We start from the raw sequence: 27310 nt of genomic DNA, 5'->3' as shown, positions 1-27310 counted from the left end.
GGGTGGGGTCAGCACCGTGGGCTGTGTCGCTGTCTCTGCTCGTCCTCCCTGTGGCCACGGTGCTCCCTCTCTTTCCCGAGCACTGGCCCCTCTCTCCCCTGCCCTGCTCCTCCCCGCCTGGGGGGTCTCTCTAATCCCCACCTCTCTTTTCACCTTGGCTCTGGGTTTCTCAAACCAAATCTTAGCTAACCAGGAGAGGATAAACCTCACTCCTATCACGATTTCAGCTACACACGCTCAGGTAAGATCAGCTGTGGCCTTAACTCTGTTGACCACAGACATGGAGTTTCTTGAAGTCCTGACCGAGGGGCTGAACAGAGTCCTCCTGGTCAGGGGTGGCGGCCGGGAGGTGATCACCATCTACTCCTAATGCCCAACAGCATCACGGCACTCTGGGACAGGCACGGAGGACGGCGTGGGCAGCCTGGGCCTGGGCTTGGCCCAGGGAAACAGACGGCAGACACACCTGTCCCCCAGTGATGCCGCCCAAGCTGCCCATGGGGCTTCCTACGGAAGTTTCTAGGCCCGTCACCTAGGGCTCTCCTGTTCAGCCTTAACAGGCTCAGCAAATCAGGGCGTGGCTGGACGATTTCCTTGCATCTGAGGGCAGACGCTGCTACCGGAGTGACCTGGACGTGGCCAGATCTTCTCGCAGGTCACAAGAAGCCAGTGAGCCCTTGCCTTGGTTTCTGGAAGTTCTTTTCCTTGGCTGGATTTACCCAGTGGTTAGGTTGCATTTCTACCCCATCCAGAACATTCTTGGAAGAGCACCCGGAGCTGAAGCTGTCCCTGATGATGAAGGTGAAACGTCAGCCCTGGCCATGGCTCCGCTCAGGGCCCCGGTCACCTCCGAGTCACTCTGTTCCTTGACTGTCTTTGTGTTTCTGTACCTCAAGGCACTGAAGCTGGAGGACTCTGTCCATGCCCGTGTCACCCTCGTGTGGGAGCCTCTGGGCTCGGCAGGTCCACATTTCATGAGCTGAGGCGTGGGCCAGGGCCATCTGGAAAGGGAACTCGGCTTTTCCAGAACGTGGTGGATCATCTGTCGGGTGTGTGGTGAACACGTTCAGTTCATCAGGGCCTACGCTCCGGGAAGGGGCCCCCAGCTGTGGCTCTGCCATGCCGGGCTGTGTTTGCAGCTGTCCGAGTCTCCATCCACCTTTAGAAAACCAGCCACTTCTTTTCATAAGCACTGACAGGGCCCAGCCCACAGCCACAGGTGCGATCAGTGCCTCACGCAGGCAAATGCACTGAAACCCAGGGGCACACGCGCGCAGAGTGAACAGTGAGTTCCCCCGACAGCCCACGACAGCCAGGACTGCCCTCCCCACCCCACCCCACCCCAGGAGCACGGCACACAGTTCAGCCTCTGAGCTGGCTCACACGTGCCATCCCCACCCCGGTGCTCCAGGGAAGGAGGACACGGACCCGACGTGGGAGGTCCTCAGGCAGCAGTGGCGCCTGGTGTCAGGTCTGTCTGGCTGAGTCCCGGGCGTCCCCTGCCATGGCCTGTGCCTTGCATGGAGGCGGCGGTGGCACTGAAGAGATAGCTTTCAAGGGCCCAACACTTTGCACTTCGGCTGGCTGTGAGTTTCTGCTTTGTAGGTTGTGGTCACATTTGCAGGCTGCGGGCAGTGGCACCGACTTGGGCCTCCCTTTCTATGTGGCATATTTATTTATTTAAACACCCCAGGGAGTTACGTGGTAACAAGGTTGTCCATAAAGAGGTTGCTTCTATATACTAGAGGCCCCAGATGGCCAGGCCTTGGGCTACGTCTGGCTTGCATGGTCTCCCAAGGGAATCAGCCCCATCAACAAAGTTCAAATCGGGGCAGAGGCTGCACTTGTGCCCCCAGATGTTTCTGAGGAGCCAGACTAGGGCTGGCATTGCTGTAGAGTGACGGCTGCTGCCCAGAGCGTGTCCCAGACATCACAGCGGGGCTCAGCAGTTCCCACAGCCTCTGCCTGCCTTGGCTAAGCATGAGTTAAGCAGCAAAACGCTCCTCCATGTCTGGATGGGGCCGGCAGGTCCTGTGTCCCCTGCACCTGGAGGAGAGCAGGCTAGAGGCACAGCGGCCACATGGTGCTGGCTCTGAACGTTGGTTGGTGGCTGGAAAACAGCCCTGCTTCTGAGGGCCGCTCAGTTCTGCACACGAAACCACCTCCTGAGGGCTCAGCTCTGCCCCCGCCCTGGGCTGCAGCCTCTGCACGCAAGCACCAGGCATCCTTTGTGTTGTCAACTCCGTGTAACCAGTAACTACAGCCATTTACAATTGACTCCGTTTCCTTTTGTAGGTTTCCCTGTCTGTCTGTGTTAGTAGAAAAATAAAATCCTATGAAATCTGAGTACGTTGAAGAATCTCTTGAGTCTCATTCAGCATGAAAGACAGCTGGAGAAAATGTACTGGCCGCCCCTTTTCTAGCAGGAGCGTCAGGGCTGACCAGCCACAGCCAACTCAGGTGGCTGAAGAGTGACCATATGAATTGGACGAGGGCTTCCAAATCATGTCATCGGCTTGGAAATGACCTTACCCCAAACTTCCTAGTGCTGTGTGTTGAAGTGACCCAATCTCTGTATTTCTGAGACAGTCTCTGTTGCCTAGGCTGGAATGCAGTGGCGTCACCTCAGCTCACTGCAACCTCCGCCTCCCAGGTTCAAGCTATTTTCCTGCCTCAGCCTCCCGAATAGCTGGGATCACAGGCGTGTACCACCACGCCCAGCTAATTTTTGTATTTTAGTAGAGATGGGGTTTCACCATGTTGGCCAGGCTGGTCTCGAACTGACCTCAAGTGATCTGCCTGCCTCAGCCTCCTAAAGTGCTGGGATTACAGGTATGAGCCACCATGCCCGGCCATTCGATTTATAATTTAATTTATATAAGGATGGAGGCACCAGAGAGTCCGCCATGAGTGGGGACAGCGTGTTCTAACTCGTGAGATGCCAACTCACACCTGTGATGGTCACAGCCAAAACCAGAGAATCGCGGGGAGGACGTGCGGAATCGGACCCCTCTTGCAGGGTTGTAGCTGCACGGGAAGGGCCTGTGGTTCCTGAAAGTGTGAGAGACAGAGCCGCCCCTTCCCCGGCAGGTCCACTCCTGGTGTGTGGCACAGCCTCAGGAACGGGTGCACGCAAGTTCACAGCAGCCAAAATGGATGCAGCCCGAGAACATGCTGAGTCCATGTGGGCCGTGCCTGCTGCAGGCCTCTCAGCTAGAACCAGGAGCCAAGCTTGGAAGCCTCACGCTCGGGAGGAAGCTAGACACAAAGGGTCTCACGCTGTGGGACTGCACTTAACACGAAATGCCAGAGTGGGCCAGGCACAGAGGCAGGGGGTGCACTGGCGGGTGCTGGGGGTGGGTCAAGGGGAATGGGGGGAGATGGGGGATGGGGGGAGGCTGCTTACAGGGTATGGATTTCTTTTTGGGTGAAAATGTTCCGAAATGGCTGTGGTGAAGCTTATGTGACTGAACATGCTGGAACACTGCCTCGTGCACGACGAAGGGCGAATTGTGTGTGTGAAGCTGCCGGGCACCGTGTCCAGTGGGCCTGACACATGGTGGACAGGAAGGGACACGGCACAGGAGGGTGGCGGGTCCTGCTCTGGCTCTCGGGTCACAGGAGAGTGACCGTGAGAGCAGCGTCGTCCTCGGACCCCCGAGGGGTGAGTGCTGGCTGCACCCAGGCATCCACACCCGGGACTCAGAGCACGGGAGCGGCCGGCTGGGGTGGGCCTACTGTCCTGAGGGCCAGATGCTCACAAATTCCAGCAGGGAGGTTTGGAGACCCACTGATGCCTACACATCTGGGACCAGGGCCCAGCCAGAAACCCCTAGGTGTCCCCTTCCCTGGGACCCCAAAAACCAGGCTGCTTCCTAGCCTTGGCCGGTGCTTCCCAAGGAGCAAGAACTCGGCTAGAGCAGTCACCCACTCATTCACACACTTAACTCGCCCATTCACACGCTAACTCGCCCACTCATTCACACACTAACTTGCCCACTCGTTCACACACTAACCCACTCATTCACAAACCCACCCACTCATTCACACACTAATCCACTCACACACTAACCCACTCATTCACACACTAACCCACTTGTTCACACACCCACTCAACTCACCCACCCATTCACACACTAACTTGCCCACTCATACACTAACTCACCCACTCATTCACACACTTACCCACTCATTCGCACACTCATTCACTAACCCACCCACTCGTTCACACACCCTCATTCACACACTAACGCCCACTCGTTCACACATTCACCAACTCATTCACACATTAACCCACTGACACACACTAGCCCATTCACTAACCCATTCACACACTAACCCACTCGTTCACACACCCATTCACAAACTCGCCCACTCGTTCACACACCCACTCATTCACACACTAACCCACCCACTCATTCACGCACTAACCCACTCATTCACACACCAACTCACCCACTCATTCACACACACCCGCTCATTCACAAACCCACTCGTTCACACACCCACTCACACTAAATCCCTCATTCACACACTAACCCACTCATTCACACACTCACCCACTCGTTCACACACCCATTCACACAACTCATCCACTCATTCACACACCCATTCACAAACTCGCCCATTCGTTCACACACCCCCTCATTCACACACCCTCATTCACACACTAACACACTCACACTAACCCATTCACACACTAACCCACTCGTTCACACACCCATTCACACACTCATCCACACAATAACCCACCCATTCATGCACTAACCCATTCACACACCAACTCACCCAGTCACACACTAACCCACTCATTCACATACTAACCCACTCGTTCACACACCCACTCACACACTAACTCCCTCACACACTAACCCACTCACTCATTCACACAATAACCCACCCACTCATTCACACACTAACCCACTCATTCACACACCAACTCACCCATTCACACACTAACACACACTAACCCACTCGTTCACACACCCACAAACTCCATTCACACACTAACCCACTCATTCACACACCTATTCACAAACTCACCCACTCGTTCACACATCCACTCACACACTGACCCATTCACACACTAACCCATTCACACACTAACTCGCCTACTCGTTCACACACTAACCCACTTATTCACACTAACTCATTCACACATTGACCCACCCACTCATTCACACATTCACACACTAACCCGACACACACCCACATTCACACACGAACTCACCCATTCACACACTAACCCACTCGTTCACACAACCATTCACACACACACTCGTTCGACCATTCACACACTAACCCATTCACACACTAACTTGCCCATTCACACACTCACCCATTCACACATTCATACACTAACCCACCCACTCATTCACACACTAACCCACCGACTCATTCACACACTAACCCACTCATTCACACACTAACTCATCCATTCACACACTAACCCACCCACTCATTCACACACTAACCCATTCATTCACACACTAACTCACCGACTCATTCACACACTAACTCACCCACTCGTTCACGCACTAACTTACCTACTCATTCACACACTCATTCACACACTAAACCGACTCATTCATACACTAACCCATTCACAAACTCACCCATTCATTTGCACACTAACCCACTCATTCACACACTAACCCACTCATTCACACACTAACCCACTCATTCACACACTAACCCACTCATTCACACACCCACTCATTTACACACTAACCCACTTGTTCACACACCCGCTCATTCACACACTAACTCACCCATTCACACACTAACTCTCCCATTCATTCACACAAACACCCACTCATTCACACACCCACTCATTTACACACTAACCCACTCGTTCACATACCCGCTCATTCACACACTAACCCACTCATTCACACACTAACTCGCCCATTCATTCACACTAACTCACCCATTCACACACGAACTCATTCACACACTAACCCACCGACTCATTCACACACTAACCAACTCACACACTAACTCACCCATTCATTCACAAACTAACCCACCCATTCACACGCTAACTCACCCATTCATTCACATAGTAACTCACCCACTCCTTCACACACCCACTCATTCACACACTAACCCATTCACACACTAACTCGCCCACTCGTTCACAAAGTAACTCACCCACTCATTCACACATTAACTCATTCACACACTAACCCACCCACTCATTCACACACTAACTCATTCACACACTAACCCACCGGCTCATTCACAAACCCACTCATTCACACACTAACCCACTCATTCACACACTCACCCACTCATTCACACACTCACCCAGTTGTTCACACACACTCATTCACAAACTCACCCACTCATTGACACACTAACTCACCCACTCATTCACACACTAACCCACCCACTCACACACATTCATACACTAACCCACTGACTCATTCACACACTAACCCATTCATTCACACACTAACCCACTCGTTCACACACCCATACACACACTAACCCACTCACACACCCATTCACACACTAACCCACTCATTCACACACTAACTCGCCCACTCGTTCACACACCCACACACTAAATCCCTCATTCACACGCTAACTCACCCACTCATTCACACACTAACCCACTCGTTCACACACCCACTCATTCACACAATAACATCCACTCATTCACACACCCACTCATTCACACACTAACTCGCCCACTCATTCACAAACTCGCCCACTCGTTCACACTAACCCCCTCATTCACACACCCTCACACACTCTCACACACTAACCCACTCATTCACACACTAACCCACTCGTTCACACACCCATTCACACTCATCCACACAATAACCCACCCATTCATGCACTAACCCACTCATTCACACACCAACTCACCCACTCAGTCATGCACTAACTCACCCACTCATTCACATACTAACCCACTCGTTCACAAACCCACTCACACACTAACTCCCTCATTCACACACTAACCCACTCATTCACACACTAACTCACCCACTCGTTCACACACCAAAACACTGACCCATTCACACACTAACTCGCCCACTCATTCACACAAACTCACCCACTCGTTCACACACTAACTCACCCACTCATTCACACTAACTCATTCACACATTGACCCACCCACTCATTCATACATTCACACACTAACCCGACTCATTCACACACTTACCCACTCATTCACACACGAACTCACCCATTCATTCACACACTAACCCACTCGTTCACACACCCATTCACAGTCGTTCAGCCACTCATTCACACACTAACTCACCCATTCACACACTAACTCGCCCACTCGTTCACACACTAACTCACCCATTCACACACTCATTCATACACTAACCCACCCAGTCATTCACACACTAACCCGACTCATTCACACACTAACCCACTCATTCACACACTAACTCATCCATTCACACACTAACCCACCCATTCACACACTAACCCACCCACTCACACACTAACCCATTCATTCACACACTAACTCACCCACTCGTTCACACACCCACTCATTCACAAACTCACCTATTCATTAACACACTAACTCGCCCACTCACACACTAACTTGCCCACACGTTCACACACTAACTCACCCACTCATTCACACACTAACTCATTCACACTCATTCACACACTAACCCGACTCATTCACACACTAACCCACTCATTCACACACACACCCATTCATTCACACTAACTCACCCACTCATTCACACACTAACCCACTCGTTCACACACCCACTCATTTACACACCAACTCACCCACTCGTTCACACACCCTCTCATTCACACACTAACTCACCTACTCATTCACACACTAACCCATTCATTCACACACTCACCCACTCATTCACACACTAACTCACCCACTCGTTCACAACCCATTCACACACTAACCCACCCATTCATGCACTAACCCACTCTTTCACACACCAACTCACCCACTCGTTCACACACCCACTCATTTACACACTAACCCACTCGTTCACACACCCTCTCATTCACACACTAACTCACCCACTCATTCACACACTAACTCACCCATTCACACACGAACTCACTCATTCACACACTAACCCACCCATTCACACACTAACCCACTGACTCATTCACACACTAACCCACTCACACACTAACTCACCCATTCATTTACACACTAACCCACCCATTCATTCACAGTAACTCACCCACTCGTTCACACACCCACTCATTCACACACTAACCCACTCATTCACACACTAACTCACCCACTTGTTCACACACATTCAAACTCGCCCACTCATTGACACACTAACTCGCCCACTCTTTCACACTAACCCACTCACACACTAACCCACCCACTCATTCATTCATACACTAACCCACTGACTCACTCACACTAACCCATTCACACACTAACCCATTCATTCACACACTAACTCACCCACTCGTTCACACACCCACTCATTCACACACTAGCCCACTCATTCACACACCCATTCACACACTAACTCACCCACTCATTCACACACTAACTCCCCCACTCATTCACAAACTCGCCCACTCGTTCACACACTAACTCACCCACTCATTCACACACTAACCCATTCATTCACACAGTCACCCACTCATTCACACACTAACTCACCCACTCGTTCACAACCCATTCACACACTAACCCACCCATTCATGCACTAACCCACTCTTTCACACACCAACTCACCCACTCATTCACACACCCACTCATTCACACACTAACTCACCCACTCGTTCACACACCCATTCACAAAATCCCTCATTCACACACTAACCCATTCACACACTAACTCAGCCACTCGTTCACACACCCATTCACACACTAACTCATCGACTCATTCACATGCCCACTCATTCACACAGTAACTCACCCACTCATTCACAAACTTGCCCACTGCTTCACACACTAACTCGCCCACTCACACACTAACTTGCCCACTCGTTCACAAACTCACCCATTCATTCATACACTAACCCACCCACTTATTCACACACTAACTCATTCACACAACCCAACTTATTCACACACTAACCCACTCATTCACACACTAACCCACCCACTCATTCACAAACTAACCCATTCATTCACAAACTCACCCACTCGTTCACACACCCACTCATTCACACACCTACTCATTCACACACTAACTCGCCCACTCATTCATACAGTAACTCGCCCACTCATTCACACTAACTCGCCCACTCGTTCACACACTAACTTGCCCACTCGTTCACACACTAACTTGCCCACTCGTTCACAAACTCACCCATTCACACACTCACTCATTCATACACTAACCCACCCACTTATTCACACACTCATTCACACAACCCAACTTATTCACACACTAACCCACTCATTCACACACTAACCCACCCATTCACAAACCCATTCATTCACAAACTCACCCACTCATTCACACACCCACACACTCACCTACTCATTCACACACTAACTCGCCCACTCATTCACACACTAACTTGCCCACTCTTTCACTAACCCACTCATTCACACACTCATTCACACACTAACCCGTTCATACACTCACCTATTCATTCACACACTAACCTGCCCACTCATTCACAAACTCATTTACACACCCACTCATTCACACTAACCCACTCATTCACACACTACCTCACCCATTCACACTAACCCACTCGTTCACACACCCATTCACACTCACCCACTCATTTGCACACTAACTCACCCACTCATTCACACTAACCCACTCGTTCACACACTAACTCATCCACTCATTCACACATTCACCCACTAACTCGCCCACTCGTTCACAAACTCACCCACTCATTCACAAACCCCTCATTCACACACCCACTCATTCACACACGAACTCACCCATTCATTCACACACCCACTCGTTCACACACCCACTCATTCACACACTTAACTCACCCACTTGTTCACACATCCACTCCTTCACACACTAACCCACTCATTCACATACTAACTCGCCCACTCGTTCACACACTAACTCACCCATTCATGCACTCACTCACACACTAACCCACCCATTCACTAACTCACTCATTCACACACTAACCCACCCACTCATTCACACACTAATCTACCCATTCATTCACACACTAACCCACCCACTCATTCACACACTAACCCATTCACACACGATCTCACCCATTCATTCACAAACTCACCCACTCGTTCACAGCCACTCATTCACACACTAACTCACCCACTCATTCACACACGCACTCATTCACACCCACTCATTGACACACTAACTCGCCCACTCGTTCACACACTAACCCCTTCACACACACACTAACCCACCCATTCACTCACTCATTCACACACTAACCCACTGATTCATTCACACACTAACTCATTCACACACTAACTCACCCATTCACACACTAACCCACTCACACCCTAACACCCACTCGCTCACACACCCAGTCATTTACACACTAAGTCACCCACTCGTTCACACACATTCACACACGAATTCACCCATTCACACACTAACTCGCCCACTGATTCACAAACTCACCCACTCGTTCACACACTAGCCCACTCGTTCACACACTAACCCACTCATTCACACACCCATTCACACACTAACCCCCTCACACACTAACCCATTCACACGCTAACTCACCCACTCGTTCACACACCCACTCATTCACACTAACCCACCCACTCATTCACGCACTAACCCATTCACAAACTCATTCACACAATAACCCGACTCATTCATGCACTAACCCACTCATTCACACACCACCCATTCACACACCCACTCATTCACACACTAACCCACTCATTCACACATCCACACACTCCCTCTTTCACAAACTCACCCATTCACACACTAACCCATTCGTTCACACACCCATTCACAAACCCAGTCGTTCATACACCCATTCACACACTAACTCCCTCATTCACAAACTCCCTCATTCACACACTAACCCACTCGTTCACCCATTCACATACTAACCCACTCCTTCACACACCCATTCACTCATTCACACCCACTCGTTCACACACCCATTCACACAAACCCATTTGTTCACACACCCATTCACACACTGACCCACTCGTTCACACACCCACTCATTCACACACTAACCCACTCATTCACACACTAACCCACTCACTCACTGGTTCCCTCACTCACCAACTCGTTCACCCAGTCATCTGCATACTAATTCACTTACCTGCTCATCCACCCGTTCCCTGACTCACCCATTCACCCACTCATCATTCACTCACTCCTTAAGCACCCATTCATTCACAGCTCACCCACTGTCACCCACCCATTCATTCGCCTACTCATGTACTCATTTACCCCTCAGCCCTCACTCATCACTGTCACTCACTCATTGTTCATTCACCCGTTCACTCATTCACACACTCATTTACACACTAACCCACTCACTGTCATGCATTCATTCGCCTACTCATGTACTCATTTACCCCTCAGCCCTCACTCACCACTGTCATTCACTCACTCAGTCACCGTTCCATTCATTTATTCACCCGTTCACTCATTCATTCCCTAATTCACCCACTCATCCTTCACCCATTCACTCACTAATTTACACCAAGTCACTCCCACTCATTCAGATACAGGCTGGTCCAGCGACAAGATCATCTGGTAGTCAAAGTCTACACTCACACAAGAAAGAACAAGGCTCTTGGTTTCTGTGACCCAGGCCTCTGTCTGTGTGTCACCTTTGTCACCCGGTCTCCTGCAGTGAAGCCTTTCTGGTGCCAGCATGGTGGGAAGACTGGGCCAAACGGCAGGTAGAGCTGCCCCAGGAGCAGGCTGTGTGCCGGGAGTCCTCCGAGGAGCCTCTGCCTCCATCTTGCCTGCAGCACAGCACGGCCTTCCTTTTGGTGGCACCCATGTCCCCCGACAGGTGTGGCCCGGGAGCCAGAGAGGGACCTGATGCCATCCTGTGCTGTGTCCCTTCCCATCCACCATGTGCCAGGCCTGCTGGACATGGTACCCAACAGCTTCACACACACAATTCGCCCTTGGCCCCAGGCCAAGCTGCTGCAGCGTAACTGACAAGACACACTGATCTTTACATGTGGGTGTTTAATGAACGAGACCATTCAGCACTGGCTCACTTTTTGTGCATATGTGTTTTTTGTAGGGTTTTTGACGGGGGGGAGGTTCCTGTGTTAGTCTGTTTGGCATTGCTATAAAAGAATACCTGGCACTGGGGTATTTATAAAGAAAAGAGGTTTATGTGGCTCCCCGTTCTGCAGGCTGTACAAGCATGGTGCCCGCATCTGCTCAGCTTCTGGGGAGACCTCAGGAAGCTTCCACTCAACACAGGAGGCAAAGGAGGGGCAGGCATGTCACATGGTCAGAGCAAGAGAGAGAGGGGGAGGTGCCAGTTCCTTTAAACCAGCAGTCCCCAACCTTTTTGCCACCAGGGACTGGTTTTGTGGAAGACAAGTTTTCCACGGACGGGGTGTGGGGATGGTTTCAGAATGAAACTTCCACTTCCGATCATCAGGCATTAGATTCTCATAAGGAACACACAACCTAGATCCCTCGTATGCGCAGTTCACAACAGGGTTCGAGCACCCATCAGGATCTAATCCCGCCTCTGATCTAACAGGAGGCGGGGCTCAGGCACTCATGCTCACTCACCACCGCCCACCCCATGCTGTGAGGCCCGTTCCTAACAGGCCACAAACCAGTAGCAGTCCACAGCCTGGGGGTTGTGGCCCTTGCTCTAAAGAACCAGATCTCCCACAAACACCGAATGAGAGCTCACTCATCACCACGGCAAGGGCGCCAAGCCATATTCACCAGGGATCTGTCCTCATGACTCAAACCCCTCCCACAGACCCCACCCAGCACTGCGGATCACGTCTCAGCATGAGACTTGGAGGCAACAAACATCCAAGCCATTCACCAGGGATCTTCCGCCATGGCTCAAACCCCTCCCACAGACCCCACCCAGCACCACGGATCACGTCTCAGCATGAGACTCGGAGGCGACAAACATCCAAGCCATTCACCAGGGATCTTCCGCCATGGCTCAAACCCCTCCCACAGACCCCACCCAGCACCACGGATCACGTCTCAGCATGAGACTCGGAGGCGACAAACATCCAAGCCATTCACCAGGGATCTTCCGCCATGGCTCAAACCCCTCCCACAGACCCCACCCAGCACCGCTTTATCCTTAAAAACAAAACAAGGAATGTAAATGCAAAACTGCCGCGCGGCCTCGCCAGATTCCGGAAAACACCCGCATGTTCCTGTTCAGGGTAAACACGTGGACCCCTGCAGGCTCCAAGACTCAGAAACATTGGCACGGGCCCCCTGGGTCCCGGAAAGCACCCCCACGGTTCCTGTTCCGGGTAACCACATGGACCCCTGCAGGCTGCAAGACTCCGAAACGTCACTGGGACGTCCTTCTGGCCTGCAACCGTCTCCTGACCCTTGCAGGACACACCTTTCTCCAAAGCTGACATGTCACAGAAGTCGCCCCGTGAGTGTTGGGACCGTGAATGTGCAAGTCCCCGTGTTCTGAGCCGCACCCAGCGCGAGCCTCTCCCTCTCCCCAGCATCTGTTGCCCTGCCCCTCCCCGCCTTGACTGTGTCCTGCATGCACCTGAGCTGCTGTGGCTCCGGGACCAGGGGCTACCTCCACTGCCGCATGCTGCCCTGTGGCCCCTCCTCACTGGTGTGGGCTCCCCCTGTGCCCTGTGGCCCCTCCTCACTGGTCTGCACTCCCTACTCTGGCACTTCTCTTTCTAGCACTGCTGCCTTCTGCTGCTTGGCCTCCTGCGGGGAGCCGCGGATGCTCCCTGCTAAGCACAAGCTGCTTCCCCCCACCGGCCCTGTCCCCTCTCACTTCATGATGCACAAGCCAGGCAAAGCCTCAGCTTTTCCATTCGCTCCCGGCCTCGCACTGGGACAGCCTACAGCAGTCACCCCTTGAAGCCCCGGGAGGAACACCCACCCCAAGCATCCGGGCACTCCTTGCGCACTCCAGGGCCTCATTTTGGAATCAAAGCAGGTTTTATGGGTTACACAGACGAGCCTTAGAGCCAGGAAACATAGTGGCTTCAGATGTGTTCACCGCCATGTGGCATCGAGGGCAGAAGAGCAGAGGGCGCCTGGGCCTTGTCCACGTGTCCAAGGTGCACCACCTCCATCATGCCAGCACCTGCAGTCAGTTGCTGTTTGCTGTCGGAGGTGGGGGGTGGGGGCTGGGCTCCCCATGGGCACACAGCCGGCAGCTGCTCTGCTCCCTGCCCTGAGGTCGCGGGCTGTGGTGTGCTGGGAGCGAGGTGTGCTTGGCAGTGGCGCTAGGACGGGTGGAAGTGGTGGTGGTGGTGGTGGTGGTGGTGCTCGTGGTGGTGGTGGTGCTCGTGCCGCTGGATCACTGGCACCGCGTAGCCCTCTCCTGCTGGCGTGGGCGGCAGGTCCCGCACCACCTCGTGCTCCACTGTGGCAGGCTGAGCGTGTGGGGCCTTGAGTGGCGAGTGGCCCTCCCTGCCCTTTTGGCGGTACCGCTTGTGGCCGTAGGGTGGCGGTGGGGGCTGCGGGAGGTGGTGGCCGTCCTGAGGGGCCTGGGGCGGCAGGACGGCCGGCAGGTAGTAGCTGAAGGCTTTCCCGGACTTGCTGCTGGCTGGCACCCCAGGCGGCTTCCCGGAGCCCTTGGGGGACTTGAGGAACTGCTTCTCCGGCCCCTTCGGCCGGGGCTGCGTGTCCAGGGCCCGGGCAGCAGGCTCCGAGGCTGGCACGACGTGTTCCACCAGCACCTGTGACCTGCGGTGGTGTACGGCATGTGTATCTGGCTCCTGGGAGCGGGACCGGGCCTGGAGGTGCGAGGCCCTGCCCTGGGGCTCCTGCTTTGCTTGCACAGGAGGGGACCCTGCGGACACAGGTCAGAGTGTGAGGCCCTGGGAGTGCAGGCTCAGGTTCCCATCTCCTCAGAAACGGCCCAGGGCCCACTGGAAGAGCTGCGCCAGGGGTCCCACCTGAGGCCAGTCTGTTAGCCAAGTCTGCAGTCAGACGGCCACCAGCCCTGAAGGGAAGGGGCCTGGCCACTGTGGGTGACCTGCCTGGCTCCACAGCTCCCTGCAAAGGCCGACTCCTCTAGCCTTGTCCCCACTGTGTGTCCTGGGAGCGGAGCTTCTCTTCTCGCACAGCTGAGACCCTGCTTGGGGCGCCGTGGCAGAAAGCCAGGTTATATCAGGGAGGGCGCCCCCAGGATTCGCATCCCCTAAACCCTCATTACAAAATAGATTTGAGAAGGACTCAGGACTGCCACCTTCACAACGTGCAGTGCGAGCCCTGTAGGGTGCAGCTCCTGTGCAGAGCGCGGCCAAGGAGGGCAGGGTCAGCACACAGCGCACTGAGCCCCCATGACCCTGATCCAGCTCCACCCCTCCTGCCCCTGGGGACTCCTGAAGCCGGGGTTATGAGAGAGACTTGGCCCCAGCCCTTGGGGAGTGGCCTGGGCTTTGGTACAAGAATCTCCATGCAGGCCACATAGGGGTGCTGCTAGTCGGAAATAAACGTGTGCTGGGCAGGCTGCCAGCTATCTATGCTGCCTGCCATCCACCTGCTTGCCTGCCATCCACACTGCCTGCTGTCCACACTGCCTGGCTGCCATCCACACTGCCCGCCGTCCACACTGCCTGCCTGCCATCCACATTGCCCGCCATCCACACTGCCTGCCTGCCATCCACACTGCTCGCTGTCCACACTGCCCGCCGTCCACACTGCCCGCCTGCCATCCACACTGCCCGCCGTCCACACTGCCTGGCTGCCATCCACACTGCCCGCCATCCACACTGCCTGCCTGCCATCCACACTGCCTGCTGTCGACACTGTCTGTTGTCCACACTGCCTGCCCTGCCGTCCACACTGCCTGTTGTCCACACTGCCGGCCATCCACACTACTGGACGACCCCCTCTGCTGACTGAGCCGGTGATTCCACCCTAAAATACTGACTTCTCACCCCAAGGCAGGGTTTCCCTGAATGCAAACCCAATGTCTTCCATCTCACTTTGAACCAGGCACCCCCGCATCCGCCACATACACACACCTGGACGGGACGCCCGCCTTGCTTTCAGGCGGCACCAACAGGTAGCCAGGAGGCAGCCATGACCAACAGGTAGCTGTGGAAGGACCTGGGTGCCGTCCTGGGTGGGGTGGGGTGGGGGGGGTTGGGGGGGGGCGGGGCAGGGCAGGGAGGGGCCCCCTGCACTCAGGGCTGTGGGAATCAAGACCTTCGATGGGCACCCACAGCCAGGGCCTCACGCCCAGGGTGGCCTCCAGGACCTACCAGGGCCGAATCTGGACGTGTAGTTCTCAATCCCGGCGAGGTCCAGGTAGTGGTTTCTGCGCTCCGTGTTCTCGTCCACGCAGTAGGGCCCCCGCTCCGAGCAGGGCTGGGGGTCAGTACTGGGCCTCCTGCTTGGAGCACAGAGAAGGGCCTGACCCCCGCACAGACTGGGTGGCGCACCCCTGATGACGGGGTGCCTACAGCAGGCGGCAGGGGTCCGGGGTGCATCCTGACCAGCACCCACCTCCTCGCAGAGCAGGAAGGAGAGTGGACGCCTGGGCACAGACAGTCAAGTGCCGTCCAGAGAAACAAGGTCACAGCCGACCCCCAGAACCCTGTGAACTCCCTCCCAGGCACCAGAGCCGCAGGTGCTCTAGGGAGTGGCTCATGCTGTAGTGGCACCTGATCACCACTCTGGGACCACTGTAGCCACTGCGCCAGCCACACCCCAGCCACCCAGCCACCCCCAGCCACTGCCTCAGCCACTGCCTGAGCCATCCCCAGCCACTACCCCAGCCACCCTTAGCCATTGCCCCAGCCACCCCCAACCACTGCCCCAGCCACCCTCAGCCACTGCCCCAGCCACCCCCAGCCCTGTTGCCCCCAAAGCTGCTGAGTGGAGCCACAGGGAGCCACAGTGAGCCACAGCAAGTCCAGACTGAGGGTGTCAAGGCCGCTGTGGCTGCTGCCCCTCAAAGCCCTCTGCTCAGACAGACTTGGGGGCCCAGCTCAGCCAGGGTGCCAGATGCTGGAAGGGCCCATGCCCCACAGAGCTGCTGGACCAGGTGCCCCCTGCAGGTCTGACCTAGAGGATGGTGTGTGGCCTGTGGCCTGTGGCCTGCGGGAAGCAGGGGTGTGGCCAGGGTGCCCCCGCCTAAGGCACAGCCCCACCCTGGCACCCCAGCCCTCACCTGACGTGTGCAGACAACCTCCTGTCAGCCACCCTTGGCTCCTCTGCCAGTTCACCCTCCATCCTGCAACGGGTGGGCTCCCGGTCTGAAAGGGGGGTCCTGCCATTACTCACTCCCTCCCTCCTTCATTCAGCATTCACTCATTCATTCACTCATTCATTAACTCACTCACTCATTCATTCATTCATTAACTCACTGGTTCACTCATTCATTAACTCACTCACTTGTTCACTCATTCATTAACTCACTCGTTCACTCATTCATTAACTCACTCGTTCACTCATTAACTCACTCATTCATTAACACTCACTCATTCATTAACTCATTCATTCATTAACTCACTTGTTCACTCATTCATTAACTCACTCACTTGTTCATTCATTCATTAATCTGCTTACTCACCCACTTACTCTCTCACTCACTCACCCACTTACTCATTCACTCACTCACCCATCCATTCACCCACTCACTCCTCCATCCACTCACTTGTCCCTCCCTGTCCCGCGCACACAGCTTAGGCCCCTGCCAATGTTGGGTAGGGTCCTCTGTGTGTGCCCAGGCCTCACTCACCCTGGCCAGCAGGAGGACCCTCCTTCCTCTTGCTGGAGGGCTCAGGGCTGACGGTTAGCTTCACACGGAGGGTCTTGCTGCTGCCCGAGGAGTGGTTGACCGAGGCATCCACGACCTCATAGATGGTGTGCATGAGGCTGGACATGTCCTGGGGCCCGGCATCAGTTTCACTGACAGAGCAGACCCCAGGGGACACCACCCGCCCTCCCTGCCAGAAAACACATCCAGCCCCCGCCCCTTCCTATGCCATCCTTGCATCCACCAACAGACCACAGGAACCAACACAGGCATCTTCTCGGAGCAGCCTGGGTCTGCCCAGGTGGCCCTGTGAGCGCCTCCAGTGCCCTGAGGGCAGCCTTGCAGTGTGGGAAGCACAGCCGCAGAAATGGGCGGCGCAGGCTCGGCCCAGAAACACACGTGAACTGGGCCCTGGGGAGACGCAAGCCCAGCTGGCATGAGGACCTCGCAGCAGGCAGGTCCCCTCCTGCCCCCTGAGGTATCGCGAGGCCAGCACAGTCTGTCTGCCCCGTCTGTCTACTACTGTGGACCTGACGCAAACACAAGCTCACCTACCTCCCTGGTGACCTTCCCGCAGTTGTCAAAGTCATAGAGCGTGAACGTCCACTCCTGGCGGTCGTCCTCCTCCACCGAGACATCGCACTGGAGTGCCTGTGGGGGGACGTGGGGGCCGGGACCTCGCCTCCTACCCACGCCAACACGCCCAACTCCACAGGGGGAAGGATCTTCTGGGGCCTTTCCCAGGGGTCCCTCATGCCAGCTAGGAAAGGCGGAGCCTAGAGGGCAGCGTGGCTGGAGCTCAAGCCCTGAACCAGCAGACCCCTTCTTGCCCAGCTCCAGCCCTTCTTGGGGGGACCCAGCTTTGTGCCCTGTGATTCGGTTCCCCCACAGTGACACCTATCTCAGCTCATGCAAGCACTCCACGTCACCCAGAAGGAGAAGAGGACACACTGGCCGTCAAGTGTTGTCAATTCCAGAAATCTTGACTGGACACGGAGACCCCAGTCCTCCCTGAGCCCTCCCGGGAAACGGAAGCCCTGTGCCCTGCCTCCAGCGGGCAGAGAGTCGGGCTGTCCGTCAAGTCAGCTTTGGCATTACTCCTGTAGTGCCAAGGGCACCAAGGCTGGGAATGCGGCTCAAGTTATTTGATGCCAGACCAGTCAGTTTTGGCCAAATTCACAGCAACATCCTGCACTCTCTGGCTCCTGCTGACTTTGGCTTGCACATTCAAGTTCTGCTTCAATGCCTTAAACGGGGTGAACTGTGGGGAAGACTGAGTGAACTACGCCGTGTCCACAGATGCCCAGTTTAGGGCAACACATGCCTGTCCCTGAGCCCCCGGCCCCAGGGACGTGTTCCCGCAAGTGAGGCCGGAGAGAGACCCACGTCAATGTTGAGGCGCTGCCCGCCCGGTCCTCGCGGGCCCTCGCGGTTTGCTGCCCTCTCTCCGTCATCTGCGCTGAGGAGTTGTCCCGGGTGCTCGCGGCCCTCAGCTTTCTCAGCGGGGAGTGCCACTAGGGGGACAAGAGGAGGCGAAGGGGCTGGCAGAGGGCACATGGAGGATGTGGCCCGCCATTGGGGACCCTCGCTGCTCTCCCCTCACCACACCATGATCCTGTCCAGACGGGCCTGAGCTGAGAGCCCGATCTTGGGACCCCTGCGGAGGGGAGGGAGGCCCTATCCCGGCCAGCCACAGCCGGGTGTGCCCTCCTCTCACCAGCCCACGGTGGCCCCCAACTGCAACCACCACCTCAGAGCTGGGGGTGCAGCAGACTCCGAGGAGCACAGATAGGGGAACATAGCCTGGGCCTCCAGGAGATGCTCCCTGTGTCATCATTGGGCCCCCTCCCCATAGACACAGTCCCTCCGGCCCTCCACTCCAGAATCCTAGCACTGAGCCCACAGGCCACACAGGCCACCTGTGCACTGAGTGTGTCAACAGGCGGCCCCCTCCCCGCAGCCTCTGGGCAGGATGGATGAACAGTCCTCTGGTTTCTGGAGCACAATTATTCCGTTATTCTCCAGCACTTGCAAGCTGCGTCCCCAGGATAGGAGTGTGGGACTGTCCGGGCTCAGCACCTGCAGACAGGTGCACGTCGAGCCTGAGCTGGGACGATGCTCTGGGCCTGCCTTCCCACTGAGGGGGTGTGGGTGCCTCTCTTGGCTTCAGCAGCCATCCGAAGGTGGCCCTGCTTGCTGGCCTCCCAGCACCCTCCCACAGACCCACAGGTAAGCCAAGTGCTGACCTGCCACGCGCCACAGGTAGGACTGGTGCCACTGAGGCATACACGCGTGGCAGTGACTTAGGCTGGGCCAGCATCTCACACATCCTCCAGCCCAGGGCTAACTTGAAAATTCACAGGTCCCCTTTATACAGAGCCACCCCCATCCACAAACACAGGCTCACAGAGACTCCAAACACATAAAGGTAACGCTTAGGGCTCTGCCCATGGGACAGGCCTTTTTGGTCTCTGCTGCCAGATCGCAGCTGCCAGTCCAGCGAGGACCCTGTGAGTTGTGCTGCCAAGGCTTTTTAAGAACAAAGTGCGTCTAAGCCTGGGAAGTGCCCTCGCTCCGCACACGGGGTTGTTTTAAGGGTGGTTTTCGGCGTTGCCTTGGTACGGGATGAAGTCTGTGAGTTTGGGGAGGGAGGGCTGCGGGAGCTGCACTCACCCTGTAGGGGACACTGGTCCTCCCGGAAAGGCCCCTCCTTGGGGTCCCCATTGGGCAGCTCCTGCAGGAAGAACGGGGCAGTCAGTGGCCACATAGCTCAGTGGGCAGGCGGGGGAGATGGGCAGGAGCTCTGGGCGGCTGGACTGGAGCCTGACACTCGCCTCAGGCCTCCTGGGGCGTCTCAATCTCTGGGTCCAGAAACACCAACCCTTCGTGCCCCACTCAGCCTCAGATTTTAGGAAGCAAAACACACAGACATTCCTGTGTTGTCAGGTTCCCCAAAGCATTTCCAGGTAGAAGATGCAGCTGCCTGGAATGACCCCTTCAGTCAGTGCTGCCCTGGGGATCCCCTTGGCCAGGGCCCCCATGCTGGATTACCCTAAATGCAAGAGGAGACACACTGCCCCTTTGCTCTGGGGCCTGCTCCCAGCACTGCCCACTGGAGCCTGACACGAGGACTCCAGCCGCTGCCCGCATGGCTGCCCAGGACCCCAACATGCCTCTTATAGGGCTGCCGGCCGAGACCAGTTACGGAAAATGGGGAAAAACTTCAAACACATCCCAGCGGTGTTTCAGCTGAGCCGAAGCTCACATGGTTCTCATGAATAATCTGCAGCCTTCAGGACACAGAGAAGGAGACAGACCTGTGGTCAGGGCAGGGGCCTTGCGCAGTGGTGGAGGTGCGGAGCCCCTCGGCCCAGCACACACCGCCCTGGAGCATTTCCTGAGAGCAGGCAGCTCTCGGGCAGGCGGGCGGGAGGGATGGGCAGCTGTGTTTCTGCTTCTGATTCCAGGTCCCTGGAAAGCCGTGGAAAGCCCACAAGGAGATACAGCACAGAGCTCAGTCCCGTCCACCTGGACGGCCAGAGCCTGACCCTGGAGATGACTTTGGTGCCGAGTTGGTGTCTCCGTGGGTGGACACAGGACCCCAGGGCTGCCCAGCTGGGACTGCCCTCACAGTCCCCACGGCTTCATCCTTTCCTCCTGACCAGGGGTCATGTGCCCCTCATCTCTTCTGACCTCCTATGGGGCTGTCTGCCCTGCCGGGGTCCCTGGGGTTCCTGGAGTCTGGCCCAGGCAGGAGGCTGAGCAGGGTCACCCTCGAGGGCACCTGGACCCCCCCAAGCGCCTCCTGCCACCGTGGTCACTGGCCAGGGTCCAAACAGGGTATGGTGGAAGGTTCCAGGCTGGCCAGCTGCCACCCCAGAACTTGGGTGGGGAGAGAGGGACCAGACCCCCACCCACACATGGGCACTAAGGTGGCGCTGCCGAGGCTGAATATTGTTGAGTGAGACCCAGGCCCCCAGCCCCCCTTGTGGCTGAGCCAAGGGCCCCCCAGAGCTGAGGTCTCCTGCTGGCCGCCCAGGGCGGTGCCAAGGCAGGGTGGGCAGCTCCCAGCGGGAGGCAGGAGAGCTTGCCCTCATTTTAATAAGAAACAAAACAGCTGATTATTAAAAAGTAGGCCTCCCTCCTGGGGGCTGCAGTCCCGACATTCCGGGACTGGCTGCTGCAGCCTGAGGGGCCCCATGAGCCCAGCCCGGCGAGGCCTTTGTACATCCACACAGCAGGGAGGCACCGCTGTGAGGGAAAAGCTCTGTCCAGGTGGACGCTGGCATAAAACCAAATCATCTCTAAAACCCAGGCTGTAGTTATTTATTTATTTATTTCAAAATCAGAATAATGGGTGAGGCTGCAGTCGTGGGCTTCCATGGAGTGCAGAGCAGTGCCCAGAGCCCCAGAGTTGCAGCCCCCATGGGCACAGAATCCTCGTGGGATGGACCAGATACTAGGAGCTCTACAGCCCCTCAGGTGGACTCGTGCAGGTGCTTGGAGGTGGCTGCCGACAGAAATGGTGTCATAAGGGCAGCCAAGGCCACCAATGCCCAGGCTGAGGGATGCAGGCACTGCCACTGCGGAGGGGGGCCAAGGCCACCAATGCCCAGGCTGAGGGACGCAGGCACTGTCACTGTGGAGGGGGGCAGCCAAGACCACCAATGCCCAGGCTGAGGGACGCAGGCACTGCCACTGTGGAGGGCTGGTAGGGAGGGGAAGGTGACCCTAAATGCTGAGGTGGGTGCCCCGAGGCATCCCTGTCTACCCTTGGGAGCTCCAGCCCAGACCTTCTCCTCTGGGATGTGGGGAGGGTGCAGGGGACCTGTGTGGTGAAGCCCCCAGGGTTCTCAGTACCCCCCCCCCCGCACCACAATCCCCCCTCAGGCACCCAGTTCACCTCCCATCAGACCAGCAGGCAGAGCTCAGGCCTCCTGCATGGTGCTGGGTGCCCTGAGCCTCCTTACAGATAGCAGTGAGGTGCCCTGGGGCCTGAGGGCCAGCGCGTACAGCACTCCTTGCTAAAGAGCCTTAACTGAGGTCACTCATGGAGGCCACATCGCTGCCCAGATGAGGGGCAGCAGCAGTGGCTTCCTGGAAAGTGCCAGAACTCAGAGGAGCCGGAGGTGCGGTGGCTCCTGAGGACAGGCAGCGGGCGACGGGTTGGACGGGGTGGAGTATTTTTTAAGGATTTTTAAGTGTTTCCCACGATTTGCTGAACATGTCAAGTGAGAAACAGCACATCACGCACTCCACGCATAAAGCTAATACAGTGAAAATGTAAACGCAGCCCGTGCCGTGTTTCTAAAAATTCTGAGCGCACTTGTGGGGGATTTCACTGGTTACAGACAGGAGTGTAAATGCACAGGGTGACAGAAGGAGGGGCGCAGCTGTTCAAGACAGAATCTGCACAGACCCGTGGTTTGATGTCTGGAAACGCTCCGCGCGCTACACCAACCAGCCAAGCTACAATAACCAATAAAAACTGTAATAACCAACCAAAACTACACCATGTAGCCAACGCTGCACCAACCAGCCAACGCTGTATCAACCAGCCAATACTACACCAACCAGCCCATGACTGAGTTCCTAACACAGAGGAAAACCACATTGAAAAAATATCCCCTTATTCCCTAGAATTCTCAGCGCTCGAACGCACAGTGTTTTTTCTAAGACCCAGGTCAACAGCTACCTCTGAGATGCAGGGAGGATCAAACGGGAAAAAATGAGCATCTACAGTCAAAGCCACTCCAATCTCTGTGGCTGGTGATTTCATCAGATCCGTCCTGGTTGCATAAAACTGCCCTTTAATCTACGCTGCCTCGGTTAACTAGAAGGCCAAGAGCTTTAATTGCAACTTATAAAACCTGCCCCCGGGCCGCTGGCCAGATGTGCAGCCCCTCCCCACTGGGAAGACCTTCTGAGAGGCCAAGTCCGCACACAGGATCCCAGCAGGCCTGGCCCAATGTGCCCCGGCACCCACCAAAGCCTCAGCTTCCCAGGGCGGGCGCCCCTCCCTGAGATGCAGCCCCCACCTGGCCTCGCCCTCCTGAGGACCCACCCTACCCTCACTCCCTCCCGAGGGCCCAACCCTCCCCCTCAATCCCTCTGGCCCTGTCCCTAGCGAGACCCTCCTGTGATCCCCCAACCTGTTCCGCCCCCCTTCCTGTCCCAGCTGCACTTCCGGTTTGGGGTGCCTAGGCGCCTCCTCTAGCCTGTCCCACTGCTCTGCATCCCTGAGAACCCTCCAGGTCAGCAGGGACCCCACGGCTGGCCTGCAGACCTCCCCATGCCCGTTGTCCCCTCCCGCCCATGGCATCCTCCTGTGATGCCGGGGGCTCTCCTGGCCCCTGGGAGGACAGGAACCCGACCGTGGGCCTGCCCCGTGGGGCCTCATCCCATAAGGAAAGCAGCCGCATCTGCCTGAGCAGCTCAACCCCACTCCCTCACTCAGCATCACCTCAGATTTGGGAGGAGGGTCTGACCCCAACCCACGGAGGCCTCCGGGACCAGAACCCATAGCCTCGCAGCTGCATGAGCAGCAGGCGTCTGTCACACGGCGTCAACAACAGGTAGCCTTTGCTTCAGGTCCCACGGCCCTACGGGATGCTCAGGAAGGCCACCCTGGTCTGTGAGCCAACCACCCCGAGGCCACCGTCCACGTCCCCGCCACGACAGTGAGGACATCTGATCCCCGCCACAGGCACCGGGCTGAGCGCTTCGTCCTCCCAGCACCCAGCCCCCGTCCTGGTCCCAGCCCAGACGGTAAGATGCAAACCACAGCCTCCACAGGCGGCCAGGCACGGAGAGACGCTCACAAAACCTCAACCCCCAGCTTCCTTGGAAAAGTCAAAAGGAGTGTGTTCCCCACGTGCCAGCGCTCGGCAGCGCCCAGCAGCTGGAGCACCACTGCCCCCCAGAGCCACCCCGTCTGTCGGAACCCCTGCAGAGGCGCCAGGCAGCTGCAACACAGGTATCATCCTGGTGGCCTTCAACCTGGAAGTGCCGGTGCAGGCACCTCTGGGAGCCACCTGGAGCGGGCGATGTCCTCTTCCCAGTGGACAGGTGGGCACGGCCAGGCACCTTTCCCAGGTCTCGCAAATGCAAGGAGGCGCTGTCCCCTCCTGGGCCTCGTGAGGGCAGCTGTTGGCCACAGCTCTGGTGGAACGCCCGGTGGGAAACACACGGGTGTCCACAGTGAAGTCACGGCCCTCTGGGACATGACCTAAACCCTGGTCTAGGGTTCTAGAAATACCAACCCCGATCAACAGGCAAAGGCCACAGCGTGTCCAGGAGGCCAGGCTGGGAGCATCCCCTGGAGCCCAACGTCTCCCCACGAGTTGGGAGGGTGGAGGTGATGGGAGCCGAGGCAGAGGAGAGGGAGCGGGGAGGGAGGAGAGAGACAGAGAGGAAGGCTTCAGAGAACTGGGTGGGCGTGTCGGGCAGCATTTTCCAGACCTCGGGGCTCCCGGGTCCCTCTGGAGTGGGTGTGGAACCCCAAGTCTGGGACGTTATCCAGAAGGCACAGCTCCTACACCGCCTGACACAGGACGGGCCTCTCCTACAGCTTTCATCGCCACCAGCAGCACCTGGCACCCCTAGATCCATAGGCACCTCCCAGGCTGCACTCTGGCTCCCCAGCGCCTTGGCCACCTTGCACTGTGGTGGGGACGGCCCTGTTGGGTGGAGCCCCTGGCTCGAAGTTTCTGCCACTGGGGAAATGGCCTTGGTGCACCTCCCTGTCCTTGGCAGGTCAAGCAGTGGCTCTCGAGCTGTGCCCAGGGGGCCCCCAGGAGCTGGAAAGAAGGGCCGGGGTGACAGCCTGGCCCATGTCCTGTGGTCATTGTCACCACCCCTGTGGCCACCCTGTTCTGCAGGGCTAATCCTACAAACTGGGCTGCCAGGCCCAAGGCTGCCAGAATTACGGGGCTGTCGTGGCATCGAGGGCCAGTTTGTGGGGCTCAGGCAGGATGCCAAGTGGTGAGGAGCAAGGTAGGCGCCTGCCAAGCTTAGGCTGCAGCCACCGCCACCTCAGGGCACTCGGGAGGCACCTGGGATGCGGCTGGGCAGGACCAAGGCCACGTCCAGGCCAGCAGTGACCTCCTGCCTCGGGGGCTGGGAGGATGCTGGACGTGGTAGAATGAAGTGAGTGCCTGGCAGGTGGCTCAGGGAGGGGAGCTTTGGGATATGGCACACGGGCTGGAGCTGGGCCTCTCAGGAAAAGGCTGAGGGTGATGTCTGGATCCCAAGGAACCCAAAGGGCTGGGACACCCACAGTGGGTGGGAAGAGCAGGGACAATGGGCTGGGACACCCACAGAGGGTGGGAAGAGCAGGGACAATGGGCTGGGACACCCACAGCGGGTGGGAAGAGCAGGGACAATGGGCTGAGACGCCCACAGCAGATGGGAAGAGCAGGGACAATGGGCTGAGACGCCCACAGAGGGTGGGAAGAGCAGGGAAAAAGGGCTGGGACGCCCACAGCGGGTGGGAAGAGCAGGGACAATGGGCCGAGACGCCCACAGAGGGTGGGAAGAGCAGGGACAATGGACCGAGACGCCCACAGCGGGTGGGAAGAGCAGGGACAAAGGGCTGGGACGCCCACAGCGGGTGGGAAGAGCAGGGACAATGGGCTGAGACGCCCACTAGCAGGTGGGAAGAGCAGGGACAATGGGCTGAGACGCCCACAGAGGGTGGGAAGAGCAGGGACAAAGGGCTGGGACGCCCACAGCGGGTGGGAAGAGCAGGGACAATGGGCTGGGGCACCCACAGAGGGTGGGAAGAGCAGGGACAATGGGCTGAGACGCCCACAGCGGGTGGGAAGAGCAGGGACAATGGGCTGGGACGCCCACAGAGGGTGGGAAGAGCAGGGACAATGGGCTGAGACGCCCACTAGCGGGTGGGAAGAGCAGGGACAATGGGCTGAGACGCCCACAGCGGGTGGGAAGAGCAGGGACAATGGGCTGGGACGCCCACAGAGGGTGGGAAGAGCAGGGACAACGGGCTGGGACGCCCACAGCGGGTGGGAAGAGCAGGGACAACGGGCTGAGATGCCCACTAGCGGGTGGGAAGAGCAGGGACAATGGGCTGGGGCACCCACAGAGGGTGGGAAGAGCAGGGACAATGGGCTGAGACGCCCACAGCGGGTGGGAAGAGCAGGGACAATGGGCTGGGACGCCCACAGAGGGTGGGAAGAGCAGGGACAATGGGCTGAGACACCCACAGAGGGTGGGAAGAGCAGGGACAACGGGCTGGGACGCCCACAGAGGGTGGGAAGAGCAGGGACAACGGGCTGAGACGCCCACAGAGGGTGGGAAGAGCAGGGACAACGGGCTGGGACGCCCACAGAGAGTGGGAAGAGCAGGGACAACGGGCTGAGACGCCCACAGCGGGTGGGAAGAGCAGGGACAACGGGCTGAGACGCCCACAGCGGGTGGGAAGAGCAGGGACAACGGGCTGAGACGC

The 27310-nt window shown here is 56.9% G+C and overlaps 2 protein-coding genes across 13 annotated transcripts in view, besides 5 other annotated features; one reads left to right on the top strand and one right to left on the bottom strand.

Moving 5' to 3' along the window:
• Window positions 1-2346, top strand: part of SLC12A7 (solute carrier family 12 member 7) — a 105516-nt gene extending 103170 nt beyond the window's left edge. For all 7 annotated transcript variants that reach the window (XM_011513941.3, NM_006598.3, XM_005248231.4 and 4 more), the window contains one exon: window positions 279-2346. In XM_011513941.3, coding sequence (XP_011512243.2) covers window positions 279-370 — 92 coding nt within the window. In that variant the 3' untranslated portion in view covers window positions 371-2346. The remainder of the gene's footprint in view (window positions 1-278) is intronic.
• Window positions 13325-14099: an enhancer, noted in NCBI's record as "H3K4me1 hESC enhancer chr5:1038746-1039520 (GRCh37/hg19 assembly coordinates)". NCBI's record gives its function as "activates a minimal SCP1, AML or CMV promoter by ChIP-STARR-seq in primed H9 embryonic stem cells {active_cell/tissue: H9 hESC(primed)}" and the evidence as "EXISTENCE:reporter gene assay evidence [ECO:0000049][PMID:30033119]".
• NKD2 (NKD inhibitor of Wnt signaling pathway 2) overlaps window positions 13787-27310 on the bottom strand; it is a 30142-nt gene continuing 16618 nt past the window's right edge. The window contains exons 4-11 of one of the 6 annotated variants that reach the window (NM_001271082.2): window positions 20518-20578; window positions 19231-19358; window positions 18400-18495; window positions 17827-17974; window positions 17257-17341; window positions 16346-16473; window positions 15032-15210; window positions 13787-14925 (exon numbers count right to left, since the gene is read on the bottom strand). In NM_001271082.2, the coding sequence (NP_001258011.1) occupies window positions 15062-15210; window positions 16346-16473; window positions 17257-17341; window positions 17827-17974; window positions 18400-18495; window positions 19231-19358; window positions 20518-20578 (795 nt within the window). In that variant the 3' untranslated portion in view covers window positions 13787-14925; window positions 15032-15061. The other 5 variants (XM_005248382.4, NM_033120.4, XM_011514150.4 and 2 more) reach the window with 5 other exon arrangements.
• Window positions 23989-24490: an enhancer, noted in NCBI's record as "H3K4me1 hESC enhancer chr5:1028355-1028856 (GRCh37/hg19 assembly coordinates)". NCBI's record gives its function as "activates a minimal SCP1, AML or CMV promoter by ChIP-STARR-seq in primed H9 embryonic stem cells {active_cell/tissue: H9 hESC(primed)}" and the evidence as "EXISTENCE:reporter gene assay evidence [ECO:0000049][PMID:30033119]".
• Window positions 25713-26215: an enhancer, noted in NCBI's record as "H3K27ac-H3K4me1 hESC enhancer chr5:1026630-1027132 (GRCh37/hg19 assembly coordinates)". NCBI's record gives its function as "activates a minimal SCP1, AML or CMV promoter by ChIP-STARR-seq in primed H9 embryonic stem cells {active_cell/tissue: H9 hESC(primed)}" and the evidence as "EXISTENCE:reporter gene assay evidence [ECO:0000049][PMID:30033119]".
• Window positions 26216-26717: an enhancer, noted in NCBI's record as "H3K27ac-H3K4me1 hESC enhancer chr5:1026128-1026629 (GRCh37/hg19 assembly coordinates)". NCBI's record gives its function as "activates a minimal SCP1, AML or CMV promoter by ChIP-STARR-seq in primed H9 embryonic stem cells {active_cell/tissue: H9 hESC(primed)}" and the evidence as "EXISTENCE:reporter gene assay evidence [ECO:0000049][PMID:30033119]".
• Window positions 26718-27220: an enhancer, noted in NCBI's record as "H3K27ac-H3K4me1 hESC enhancer chr5:1025625-1026127 (GRCh37/hg19 assembly coordinates)". NCBI's record gives its function as "activates a minimal SCP1, AML or CMV promoter by ChIP-STARR-seq in primed H9 embryonic stem cells {active_cell/tissue: H9 hESC(primed)}" and the evidence as "EXISTENCE:reporter gene assay evidence [ECO:0000049][PMID:30033119]".

Source organism: Homo sapiens, chromosome 5, assembly GCF_000001405.40.
Source record: "Homo sapiens chromosome 5, GRCh38.p14 Primary Assembly".
NCBI lineage: Eukaryota > Metazoa > Chordata > Mammalia > Primates > Hominidae > Homo > Homo sapiens.
This window is presented reverse-complemented; position numbering and strand designations above follow the sequence as displayed.